Source organism: Homo sapiens, chromosome 3 (assembly GCF_000001405.40).
Source record: "Homo sapiens chromosome 3, GRCh38.p14 Primary Assembly".
Taxonomy (NCBI): Eukaryota; Metazoa; Chordata; class Mammalia; order Primates; family Hominidae; genus Homo; species Homo sapiens.
Window position 1 is genome coordinate 128,031,995 of NC_000003.12, and position 13,583 is coordinate 128,045,577.

General features: G+C 41.3%; 1 long non-coding RNA gene across 3 annotated transcripts in view, besides 1 other annotated feature; it reads right to left on the reverse strand.

The window, feature by feature from the left end:
* Window positions 1-13,583, reverse strand: part of LOC102723759 (uncharacterized) — a 20,181-nt gene continuing 6,598 nt past the window's right edge. The window contains exons 2-5 of one of the 3 annotated variants that reach the window (XR_001740900.2): window positions 12,847-12,923; window positions 12,093-12,209; window positions 3,385-3,804; window positions 1-1,808 (exon numbers count right to left, since the gene is read on the reverse strand). This is a non-coding gene — a long non-coding RNA (uncharacterized LOC102723759). Of the gene's footprint in view, window positions 1,809-2,508; window positions 3,805-12,092; window positions 12,210-12,846; window positions 12,924-13,583 lie in introns of those variants that run through there. The other 2 variants (XR_007096073.1, XR_007096074.1) reach the window with 2 other exon arrangements.
* Window positions 4,172-4,466: a silencer, noted in NCBI's record as "tiled region #3038; K562 Repressive non-DNase unmatched - State 22:ReprW". NCBI's record gives its function as "represses a minimal TATA promoter and a strong SV40 promoter by Sharpr-MPRA in K562 cells {active_cell/tissue: K562}" and the evidence as "EXISTENCE:reporter gene assay evidence [ECO:0000049][PMID:27701403]".

Genomic DNA, 13,583 nt, shown 5'->3' on the forward strand with positions numbered 1-13,583 from the left:
TTTTTACAAATCTTCATAGGTACTCTGTAAAGTAAGCACTACTCTACAAGTAGGAAAGTATGACTTGCCCCCCTCCCTCTACATTATCTGCCTGGTGCAACTCAAAGCCTGGCTAAGTCTGACTCTCCTCCTGCCTCACTCTGCACCCCAGCAGTTAATGTTGCTGGGGAAACAGCAACCAGGGGACTGGTTTTACTTCAAAGTCAAGACCACAGGCTGACAGAGGCGTTTGGGAACCTGGGCACATTAATGGGTCAGGACACGCTCTCATTGTCTTAGTGGGGCTGTCTCAAGAAGATGCGGGTGGCAAACCTCAGCACAATGGTACCTGAGGGAAGGCTGCCTTTTAGGCATCTTTCAGGGCCTGCGGGATAGCATTAAATGCAAAAATACAAAATTACATTTTAATGATGTTCAGAAAAGAGGAGTAAGGCATAGCACCCCAAGATAGCCCCCAAGATGTGGGCCTACTCCAAGATGACAGAATCACAACCTCTCCTGTCCCTTCCTATTCCATCTTCACCCTCAGTTGATGGTGATCTTGCCTCTTCTTTCACAAGAAATTAGAGCAATCTGAAGAGAATTCCCTTATCTTGCTGCCACTAAATCTACAGGCATCTGCTCCCATATATTCTGCTGTCCTGTCCCAATACACAAGCTTCAAGGGCTCCTATCTAGGGTCAGCTCCTCCATTTGTAAACCAGTCCCCATTTCTTCCTGCCCATGAAATTCCTCATGTGTTAGCATAATCCTCCTCTTTCATGACGTTTTCACCCTGTAGTGGATTATTTCCATCAGCATCAACAGACATTCTGTCATTTGTCCCCTCTTTTAAGATCCCCTAGCAACTTCCTGTGCTCTCCAGCTCTTACCCCAATTCTCTGCTCCTCTCTACGCCAAATCCTTTAAAGAGCTGTCCATATAGGTCATAGCTACTTCCTCATCCCCAGTTCTCTACTGAACCCTCTCTACTCAGGCATCACCCCATCATCTTCTGAAATTGGCTTTGTCAAGGTCATTAATAAGCTTGATGTGGCCAAACTCAGTGGTCAATTTTCAGACCTCGAGTTATTTAACTCCAAAAGTAACACATGAATCAAGAGGTCAAATGTAACCCACAAATGTGTTTTGTTTGGACAACACAGTGTTGGTTTTTAGTTTGAATTCACTGCCAGCATTAGAAATCAGGATATTCACATAAAAATCTAGATGTCAAGTTTCTCTGGAAAAATCTGAAAGTCTAAGCTCACATTCCTACCTGGCAATAGACTGGCAGTGAGTCATGGCTGACTCTGGAGACAGGGCATGGGGTTTCCAGTTTGCCAGTCCCCACCACTCAGGATTGGCACATTCAGCTTGCTTCACTTACTTATGTCACTTTCCTGGCACCTAGAGGCATTTGCATTTGTAAACTCTAGAGTAAGACTTAAAACTCACAAGTTATGAGCACCTATGTTTCCTGCTTTATGAAAGAAGACAAAACAGTGGGAGAGAATACAGTTTGTGTGTATAAAGCAGCAGCGCTGAGAAGCAGTGAACCTCAGCAATGGCTGAGTTTCTGGTTCTAGGCATCCTAAGTTTCTGGTTCTAGGCATTCCAATCCATCCTGCAGTTCAGCTGTTCAGCCAAACCTTGAAGGTCATTAGTTTTCGTATATCTTTCCTCTTGCGCTGATTTTCTACTTGATCTTCTATCTTTAGACCAGTGATACAGCTTTTAATTGCTAGCTTATTTAACCCTTGTATTGGTTCACTGATTGTTCCACTGTTCATGTTAGTTATCTGGTTTTGCCCACCTGAGCTGAACTCCTGGAAGACAGATACAAGTTGACACCACGGTTCATCAAAAACAGCTTTGGTAGTACAAGTCATTCATTTATCTCTCAACATAGCAGTATAAAGATTTTCTTTTTTCTTTTTTCTTTTTTTTTTTTTTGAGACAGAGTCTTGCTCTGTCGCCCAGGCTGGAGTGCAGTGGCACGATCTCGGCTCATTACAACCTCTGCCTCCCAGGTTCAAGCAATTCTCCTACCTCAGCCTCCCGACTAGCTGGGACTACAGGCGTGCGCCACCATGCCTGGCTAATTTTTGTATTTTTAGTAGAGCCGAGGTTTCGCCAGGCTGGTCTTGAACTCCTGACTTCAGGTGATCCACCAGCCGTGGCCTCCCAAAGTGCTGGGATTAGAGGTGTGAGCCACTGCACCCAGCCAAGATTTTCTAATATGTATAATTTCTAGACCAACAGTATTTTATTTTTTTTGAGACAGAGTCTCACTCTATTGCCCAGGCTGGAGTGCAACGGTGCAATCTCAGCTCACTGCAACCTCTGCCTCCTGGGTTCAAGTGATTCTTGTGCCTCAGCCTCCCGAGTAGCTGGGATGACAGGCGCATGACACCATGCCCAGCTAATTTTTGTATTTTTAGTAGAAACGGGTTTCGCCATGTTGGCCAGGCTGGTCTTGAACTCTTGGCCTCAAGTGGTCTGCCCACCTAGGCCTTTCAAAGTGCTGGGATTACAGGCGTGAGCCACCATGCCTGGCCAACCAATAGTATTTAACTATATGTTGCAAAATACATAAAATCATATATGTGACTAGATCATAGTGAAGTGCACTGTGAGTAAGCTCTTAATAATAGTTTTCTTTGGTAGAAATCAGATTGAGCCATCATTTGGCCTTTTAAAGTGGTTTCCTGAAAGGGGAATGAAGGTGGTACAGAGGCCCAAGGGACTGTTTGCACATATAACTGTCACCCATAACAGACATCCCTGCAGGAAAAAACTATTGCAACTAGCTGTTCTAGAAGCCCAAGTCCATCCCATGATCATTATATACTTTTCTATAATGAGAACGGAATACATATAAAATACACCTTACAATTCCCTTCAAGGACTGCTACACCAAACTGAAAACTTTCCTCCCCTTTTTAGGTCTCATGGACGTCAATATGAATAAGTTTTATATAGTGGTATTATGGGCTGAATTTTGTCCCCATAATATTCATATGCTGAAGTCTTAACCCTTAGTACCTCAGAATGTGATTGTATTTTGGAGATAGGGTTTAAAGGAGTGACTAAGTTAACATGAGGCTATTAGTGTGGGTCCTAATTTAATATGACTGGTGTCCCTATAAGAAGGGGAAATTTGGACACCACAGAGAGGTACCAGGGGCGCATGTGCACAGAGGGAGGACCATGTGAAGAGGTAGCAAGAGGGCCATCTGCAAGCCAAAGACAGGCCTCAGCAGAAACCAACCCCACAGACACCTTGATCATGGATTTCGAGCCCCCAGAACTGTAAGAAAATACCCCAGCCCTAGCAAACAAATATAACCTGGGTTAAATATGAGTATACTCAAGAGCAATTCATATACAGCCACCACTTACCCCTGCATGGAACAGCCCAGGCTGCTGTTTCTGCATTTGCTTCCCGTGGCAGCTATCACTTCTTATTGCTGGTAATGCCTTCCTTTGCTAACATCCTGTCCCTTTTACTAAACTGACATTGCCTGAAAAGATAGATACCCATAAGAGTTAAAACTGTAACTTTAGTGACATCAGTGAAATTAACAGAGTAAGGACCTCTGAAAATTCTCTCCTCCATAAAGGCAACATGAAGCCTAGCAAAAATGGTCAAAATCACGTATTCAGAACTCTGAAAAGTAACCAAAGGCTCGCAGCAGTCTAGGAGCATTTATTCTGGAAAAACATTTGAGTCATGATGAAAACAGTGAGCTCTGTCCTCCTTCATCCTCTCCCTGTTTCCTAGTTCTGCAGTTACCTTGAATACCAGCAGCCTGGCAGTCTCTAGAGGAAGCAGAATAGAGTTAGAGTTCCTTCAATGCTCTATTCCAACAGAAGTCCTATTATTTGACTTGTCTGGAAGTTCTCTGGAAGATCCCACTTGCAAGGCTGTCTTATTTGACTTGAGTTGAAACTCAGAGCTCACCCAGCGCAAAAAGCCTTTGCCCGGGGGCATTTCTCAAAAACATTTAGAGGGAATTATTTAATTTCACAACTGCCTGAGGCAGTGAGTAATGTTTAGGACAATTAATAGGTTACCCGAAAGGATTTTTTTTTCAACTGGGAAATGGGCATCCATAGGGGCTTGGAAAAGCTCCAAAATATTCCTATGAATCTAGAAGGCCATTTGCACTGGCAGAGCACATATTTATGCCCATGGCTGTTCACATGGTTGGGATAACCTGAGAACACCCTAAACTCTAACATCAGGCTGACCTTGAGGATCTACACCAGCAGAAAGTGAAGGCTAAGGCAGAGCTGTCAACTGCATGCTGAGTGTTGAACACATACGCAGAGCCTCTCAGCAAACATTAAGAGACCTATTGGTTTCAAGTGTTTCAGGAAATCTGTCTAATCATTAGCTGACATTAAGCTATTCAAACAGAGACTTCAGTGGCCATATAGAACAAAGAATACAGAGTTTACAGAATTTGTGCAGGTAAGTTACTAAACAAACAAACAAATAACAAACAGCAACAAAAACATACCCTGGGGATGGGGGAAAATCTGATTTCCAAAGTTGACACACTTTTTTTTTAATGTCCAGTTTTGAGCAAAAAGTTATTAAACATGCAAAAAATAAATAAAAACCGAAAAAGTATGGCCCACACACAAGGAGAAAAAATCAACAGAATCAACAGAAATTATTCCTGAGAAAACCTAGATGCTGGATTTATTAGGAAAATATTTTTAAATCATCAATTTTAAATATGTACAAAGCATTAAACATGTTTAAAGCATTAAAGGAAAGTATGAGAACACTATCTTACCAAATAAAGAATATCAAGAAAGAGATATTTTAAAAATAGAAATTCTGGAGTTAGGCCAGGCGCAGTGGCTCACACCTGTAATCCCAGCCATTTGGGAGGCTGAGGCGGGCAAATCACCTGAGATCGGGAGTTCGAGACCAGCCTGACCAACATGGAGAAACCCTGTCTCTACTAAAAATATAAAATTAGCCAGGTGTGGTGGCACATGCCTGTGAGCCCAGCTACTCGGGAGGCTGAGGCAGGAGAATCACTTGAATCTGGGAGGCAGAGGTTGCAGTGAGATTAAAAAGGAAGAAATATTTCAAGTCAATAACTTAACCTTCTACCTTAAGAAACTAGAAAAGTGGGAGCAAACTAAACTCAAAGCAAGCAGAAGGAAAGAGATAATAAATATTGGAGTGAAAATAAAATAAAAATAGAGAAAATCAACAGAATCAAAAATTTTATTCTTTGAAAAGATTAACAAGGTTGAAAAATCTTTAGTTAGACTAATTAAGAACTAAAAAGTCTCAAACTGGTAAAACCAGTAATGAAACAGGGACATAATTACAAATTTTACAGAAATAAAAAAGATTATAAACTAATACTACGAACAACTGTATGCCAAAAAATACATAACTTATATGAAATGGAAAAATTCCTAGAAAGACACAAACTACCAAAACTAACTCAAGAAAATGGAAAATGAATGCATGTATTATAGGAGATTAATTTAGTAATTTAAAAAAATCCCACCAATGGAAATTTAGGTCCAAAGTCTTCATTGGTGAATTCAATAGAATGTTTAAAGAATTAATACCAGTACTTCAAAAACTTTTCATAAAAAAAAAAAAAAGTTAAGAAAACACTCTTGGCCAGGCGAGGTGGCTCACACCTGTAATCCCAGCACTTTGGGAGGCCGAGGCGGGTGGATCACAAGGTCAGGAGATCGAGACCATCCTGGCTAACACGGTGAAACCCCGTCTCTACTAAAAATACAAAAAAATTAGCCAGGTGTGGTGGTGGGCGCCTGTAGTCCCAGCTACTGGGGAGGCTGAGGCAGGAGAATGGCGTGAACCCGGGAGGCGGAGCTTGCAGTGAGCCGAGATGGCGCCACTGCACTCCAGCCTGGGCGACAGAGCCAGAGCGAGACTCCATCTCAAAAAAAAAAAAAGAAAGAAAGAAAACACTCTCAACACTTTATGACTTTATGAGGTCAGTGTTACCCTGATAGCCAAAGAAAAAAAGTCACTACAGGCCAATATTGCTAATGAATATAGATGCAAAGATCCTCAGCAAAAAAAAAACACATTATCATCTCAATAGAGTCAGAAAAAACAAGTTGACAAAATTCAACAGCGCTTCAAGATATAAATACTCAAAAACCTAGGACTAGAAGGGGAATTCCTTAACCTTAAAATGATATCTATGAAAAGCCTACAGCTAAAATCATACTTAATGGCAAAAGACTAAAATCTTTCCCAATAAGAACAAGAACAAACAAGGATGTTTACTCTCACCATGTCTGTTGAAGTTTGTACTGGTGGTGCTAGCTGGACAATTAGGCAAGAAAGATAAATAAAAAGAAATAAAAGATTGGGAGGCTGAGGCGGGTGATCACCTGAGGCTAGGAGTTCAAGACCAGCCTGGCCAACATAGTGAAACCCTGTCTCTACTAAAAATACAAAAATTAGCCAGGCATGATGGCACGTGCCTGTAGTCCCAGCTACTTGGGAGGCTGGGGCAGGAGAATCCCTTGAACCTGGGAGGTGGAGGTTGTGGTGAGCCAAGATTGTGCCACTGCACTCCAGCCTGAGTGACAAGACCAAGACTCCATCTCAAAAAAAAAAAAAAAAGAAAAAGAAAAGAAACAAAAAGAAATAAAAGAAATAAAACAGGCATCCAGATTGGAAAGGAAGACACAAAACTATCTCTATTTGTAGACATAATCTCATACATAGAAAATTCTAAGGAATCTACATAAAAGCAATTAGAGCTAATAAACACGTTCTGCCAGGTTGCAGGATATAAGATTAGTATACAAAAATAAATTATATTTCTATAAACCATCAATAAACAATCTGAAATTTAAATTAAGAAAACAATTCCATTATAATACCATGCAAACAGAATACTTAGGAATAAATTCAATAAAAGAAGTATAAGACTTCTTTTGGACCTTGAAAACTATAAAACATAATTGAAATAAATTAAGGAAGACCTAAATAAATATGGAAAGACATCCATGGATTAGAATACTTAACATTGTTAGGATGGCAATATTCATTAATTACCACAAAAATTCCAGCTGGCTTCTTTGCAGAAATTGAAAAGCTGAACCTAAAATTCATATGGAATTCAAGGGACCCAGAATAGCCAAAATAATCTCAGAATAGAGTTGGAAGACTCACATTTTTGAATTTCAAAACATAGTGCATAGGTACAATAATCAAGACTATGTGGTACTGACATAAAGATAGAGAGACATATAAGTCAACAGAATATAATTGAGAATCCAGAAATAAATCCATACATTTATGGTTAATTGATTTTAGACAAGGATGCCAAGACAGTTCAATGAGGGAAAGAACAGTCTTTTCAACAACTCTCGCTGGGACAGCTAGACACTGATATGCAAACAAAAATTAAAATGAATCAAAGATCTATATGTAAGAGCTAAAACTATAAACTTCTAGAGGACAACATAGGTGTAAATCTTCTTGACTTTGGCTTCGGCAATAATTACCTAGATGTAACACCTAAAGCACAAGCAACAAAAGAAAAAAAAATTGGATTTCTTCAAAATTAAAAGCTTTTATGCTTCCAAGTTTACCCTTAAGAAAGTGAAAAGATGGCCGGGCGCGGTGGCTCATGCCTGTAATCCCAGCACTTTGGGAGGCTGAGATAGGTGGCTCACGAGGTCAGAAGTTCGAGACCAGCCTGGCCAACATGGTGAAACCCCATCTCTACTAAAAATACAAAAATTAGCTGGGCGTGGTAAAAAAGAAAGTAAAAAGACAATCTTCAGAATGGGAGAAAATATTTACAAATCATATATCTGTTAAGGGACTTTATATTCAGAATATATAAAGAATTCTTACAACTCAACAATAAAAAGACAAACAGCTCAATTTAAAAATCAACAAAGTATTTGAATATTCTCCAAACAAAACATACAAATGACCAATAAACATACAAAAATATGTCTAACATCATTAGTTTTGCATCACTAGTGAAACACAAATCAAAACCTCAATGAGTTACCACTTCACATCCACTAAACTAGTTATAATAAAGAAACAGACAGTGACAAGTATTGTTGAGGATATGGAGAAACTGGGACCCTTTTACATTGCTGGTGGGAATGTAAAATGGTGCAGCTGCTTTGGAACACAGTTGGCAGTTCCTCAAAAAGTCAAACATAGATTTACCTTATGACCGAGCAATTCCACTCCTACATATATCAGAAAATTGAAAGCAAATGATTCATGCAAAAACCTGTGTGTGCATGTTCATACCAACATTATTCATAATACCTAAAAAGTGGAAGCAACTGCTGAAACGGTAAGTGCCATGTCCCATTCTACAGTCCACACAATGGCATATTTTGCAGCCACAAAAAGCAACGAAATGCTGATATATGCTACACCATGAATGAACCTTGAAAACATTATGCTAAGTGAAAAAAGACCACATATTATATGATCCCATTTGTCTGGAATGTTCAGAAAATGAAAATCCATAGAAAGAATATAGATTAGTTGTTGCCAGCAACTTGGGGTGGAAGGAGAAAGAATGGATAATGACTGCTGATGGATATGGGGTTTATCTTGGGTTGATGAAAAAGTTTTGAAATTAGATAGTGGTGATGTTTGTACAAAAGTGTGAATATACTAAAAGCCACTGAATTGTGCACTTTAAATAGGTGAATTTGATAATATTCAAATTATTTCTCAGAAAACAATCTATACATACACTCAACTGTGCCTCTATGAAGCAAATAGTTTCTGAAATAATTTTTTGAAGAGTAAAGGGCATGAGCTCTGGGCAGCCACAGCGCACCTCCTTTGACTTCCTCTAGGCTGTACTCTTGATAGCTGAGGTTGCTGTTAAGCTATCTGAGCAAGGAGTAGTGAATATCTTATGAGAATAATGTTGGTTACCACACACAGCCTAGTGACCTGGCTCAGACATAGTGACAATAAATGCTTCCCCAAATCTAAATTTCCAAGACCACAGCCAGCCACTGCAAGTTTTGGCAAAACCTATCATGAAAGCCTATCAAAGGGAAAATGGGGTTTGTGATTGATCAAATTTCTTTTAAAGTATCTGAAATTCGTAGTTTTGAAGTAAGCAACTTTATGAGGGCTCTTAGCCTTTAGAGAGATGTTCCAATGCCACAAAAACATCCTACAGTAAGAGACAGCAGACTACTAATGCTCTATGAGGCTGAGGCGATTGGAGAAAATGAGCTTGAAGTCCTTCCAGAATATTGAGCATTTATCATAGTATTACCACTATTTAATTTCATAGGAAAAAAAATCCAAGGAACAATCCCTTTGTACCTTGACAGGTCCCTAGAAGAAACTTCTGTTACCACATTCAGACAATATCTACTTAGTGAATAAACAAACCACTTGGTTCCAAAGCTTGTCCATATGACACATTTCACAATTGCTATATTTAATTCAAATTATTTGGAGTTAAAATACACTCCAGAGTGTTTATTTTTCTGTCTCTTTCCTAGAGGGTAAGAATAGTAAATGAGACAGCTGGTTGTATTCTCAGCTCTGGGGTTCTGGTAAGCATTTTATATGGCAGCAGGCAGGAGCCGGGGGTGTGTGGTTGGAGACAGTTTTTCAAAATGAAATGGTCTGTCCTCCCCCACAGCTCCCTGCCCTCTGCCACTGCAGGATTACAGTAATTCTGTATCCCAAGACTAGTTACTTTTAAAATGCCACAGCAAAGTATCCCCAAAGGTTATGGTTCCCATTTGTTCATGTCACTTAATAGCTAAAAAACCTTGGGCAAATTCCTGAACCTAGCTTACAAGGTTCCTCTGTAGAATGGGGTTAATAATAGGACCTTCTAGCCAGGCACAGTGGCTCACACCTGTAATCCCAGCACTTTGGGAGGCCCAGACGGGTGGATCACTGGAGGTCAGGTGTTTGAGACCAGCCTGGCTAGCATGATGAAACCCCGTCTCTACTAAAAATACAAAGATTAGCCAGGTGTGGTGGCATGTGCCTGTAGTCCCAGCTGCTTGGGAGGCTGAGGCAGGAGAATCGCTTGAACCCAGGTGGCGGAGGTTGCAGTGAGCTGAAATCATGCCACTGCACTCCAGCCTGGGTAACAGAGCAAGACTCCATCTAAAAAAAAAAAAAAATTACAGGACCTTCTTCACAGTGTCAGTGTGAGGACAGTCAGTGAGTGCATGTGGAGTGGGACTGCTGGCACATTCCCCAGTGTGCCATGTGCATTGCTGTCTATGTGGCTGGCCCCCTGGAGCTGTGCAGCTGCCGTGGCCACAGAAGGGTCCAACCTAACAACACACATGGTACCCAGCAGTTAAGAAGTGGTAGCTGTTATAATTATTGTTATTATAGTAGTCACTTTTTCTTGCAAGAAAGGTGGACTTCCCTGAGTGCCACAAAGAGGTTTGGGTTAATAACAGAAAGAAAATTAGCAAAATTGAGCTTTCTGGACCAGGCATTTCTCTGGGTGCTTTTATATGTGCTATTTAATTTACTCTTCATATCCCCAAAAGGATATTATTAACTCTTTTTGAGAGATTAGAAAACTGAGACCCAGAGATTTTATTTTTTTATTTTTTTGAGACGGAGTCTTGCTCTGTCGCCCAGGCTGGAGTGCAGTGGTATGATCTCAGCTCACTGCAACCTCTGCCTCCCGGGTTCAAGCGGTTCTCCTGCCTCAGCCTCCTGAGTAGCTGGGATTACAGGCGTGTGCCACCACACCTGGCTAATTTTTGTATTTTTAGTAGAGATGGGGTTTCACCATGTTGGCCAAACTGGTCTCGAACTCCTGACCTCATGATTCACCTGCCTCAGCCTCCCAAAGAGCTAGGATTACAGGCATAAGCCACCACACCTGGCCTAAGATACAGAGATTTTAAATGAGTAAAGTTATGTCACCATTAAATATTCAAGCCAGAAAGGATTGTGAGTCAGCTGGACTCCAAATCCATTACTGTTCCCACAATGGTGGGAATGTATGCTCACCCAGTGATGCAGGATTTTTCTCAGCCCCTCTGCTGGACTTGCGGAAGGGGCACCCCCTCTACTTGGCTGACCCCACTCAACCAACCCCTTGTGGGAGGGACCACATGAGTGAGCGAGTGTGGGTCCTGGCCAGATGCTCCAGGCACCAACACAGGAGCAAGCTCTATGTGAGGCCACAGCCTGACCAGGCGTGTCATCTCAAGGGGAACACGGCAGTGCCCAGGTGAGGGTGCCTGTGACCCCGAAGCCCAAGAGGGGGCATTACAGTGCTCCTTTAGTTTTGCCATCCATGGACGGGGGTGTGGTAGCTCAGTTAGCCCCTTGTCTCATTGTGTGGAGCAGCTGCCTTCCACTGGAGAGGGCAAAGGGCTGGTGTGATAGCCTTTCTGGGTACTGGCACTTGGTGGGTCCCGAGCTCTTATCTGGCATCCAAGAAGAATGAGGTCAGGTGGACAATTGAAGGATGGTGAAGGTGGAGAATTTAATTGAGCGATGGAAACAGCTCTCAGCAGAGAAGGGAGCTGGAGAGGGGAAAGGAAGGGCAGGTTGTCTTGCCCGAAGTCAGGCTATCTCATCTCTACCAACTGAGTCTTAGGTCTTTATAGGCACAGGATGGGGAGTGCAGGCTGATTGGTTTGTGAGTATGCAAAAAAAGGTTAAAGCGAAGACATCACTCAAATGTAGGCACGACAGTGTAAAAAACCAATTAGGAAAGGGTAGGTATGTGTAAAATAGGTGAAGGATGCTGATCAATCAGAGGAAAGTATGCCAAAAAGAAAGACAAGTTCTCAATCCAGTCCAAGGATTTAACTTGTAACTTGGCTTTCAGTCCTTCAACTGTCTTTGGCTTGGAGGTGAGGTTTCACTGGGTACCTGCCCCTATCTGCCTGGGCATTTGGCTGCCTCCTGTCACTATCACCAGCATGTATTCCTCCTTCTTATGGAAACAGCACATCAATTTTCCATGATAGAGCCACCCCTCCCACATTCTCAATCCGTGTGATTTGGGTAAGGCTAGTCTCAGGCCTGGCAAGTTCATTCTATTTTATACAGTCACAGAGATGGTTCAGGGGTGAACACTTACCCAGTAAAACTCAGTCTCAGGACTTTTCTAAGAACTGTGGAAAGATGAAAACTACTCTTTCTGTTGAACTTGACACTATGAAGCCTGGGACTTCTGAGGTCCCTCCAAGGAGGAAGCCTGAATATGAAAGAAAGCAAAGAGATATGGAGAAACTGAGTCTGACAACAGTTTTTGAGCCTTGCCTAAATCCATCTTTGCCTAAAGCTAGATCTACCCTTTGACTTTTCAGTTACAGGAGCCAAAAAATTCCAGTATATTTTTTCTCAAGCGTGTTCGAAGTAATTCTTTTGTCATGTACAATTGAAAGAGGAGTTACAAAATTAATGCAGGCAGTTCTTAAATCCACATAACCACCAAGCATTGTCTACAGATGATCTGTTCACTATTGTTAATCCTGTGTGGTGGGAATACAGTGTTCATCTTATTAATCTTTAAACTTTTCTGTACTTTTAACCTCATTAAGAAGATCAGAGAGGTAATGAAAACAGCACTGAAAAAAAACAGATCAGTTTCCAGCACAGAAAAGGAAAAAATACAAATTGTTCAGTCTCTCTCAGATCCAAAACCTAATACCTGGATGAGTATCTGGTGTAATTCTCACATTAACACCCTGTGCCACAGGTTTTTGTATTTGGGTTAAGCAAATAAGTAATGGTTAGTTTTGTATCGAATTGGCTAGGCTAGAGTAACCAGTTATTCAGTCAAACACTAACTTAGGTGTTGCCTTGAAGATATTTTTGTAGATGTCAATTACCTTAAAAAATATTATCTTCAATAACATGGGTGGACCACATCCAATCAGCTGAAAGGCCTTAGAAAATGGAGGTTTCCCTGAAGGAGAAGAAATTCTTCCTGTGGGCACCTCATCAGCTCCTGCCCAATTTCCCGGACTGTCGGCCCTACTGCATGAAATTTCAGATACACCCAACCAGACTTCACAATCATATTATGTCAATTCCTTGAAATACACCTATTTTTCTCTCTCTTTCTATTTCTCTACCATATATATCTCTCTGATATATATACCGCCGGCCCTCCATATCTGTGCTGCATCTGCAGATTCGGCCAACCATAGTTTGAAAATATTTTTTAGGCTGGGAAGGGTGGCTCACGCCTGTAATCTCAGCACTTTGGGAGGCCCAGGCAGGAGGATCACCTGAGGTCACAAGTTCAAGACCAGCCTGGCCAACACGGTGAAACCTCGTCTCTACTAAAAATACAAAAATTAGCTGGGCGTGGTGGTGGGTGCCTGTAATCCCAGCTACTTGGGAGGCTGAGTCAGGACAATTGCTTGAACCTGGGAGGTGGAGACTGCAGTGAGCTGAGATCATGCCACTGCACCCCAGCCTGAGCAGAGCAAGACTCTGTCTCAAAGAAAAAAAAAGTTTTTTAAAAAACAATGAAAAATAAAACATAAATACAAAGAGCTATTTATATAGCATTTACATTGTTAGATGTAAGTAATGTAGAGATCATTTAAAATATACAAGA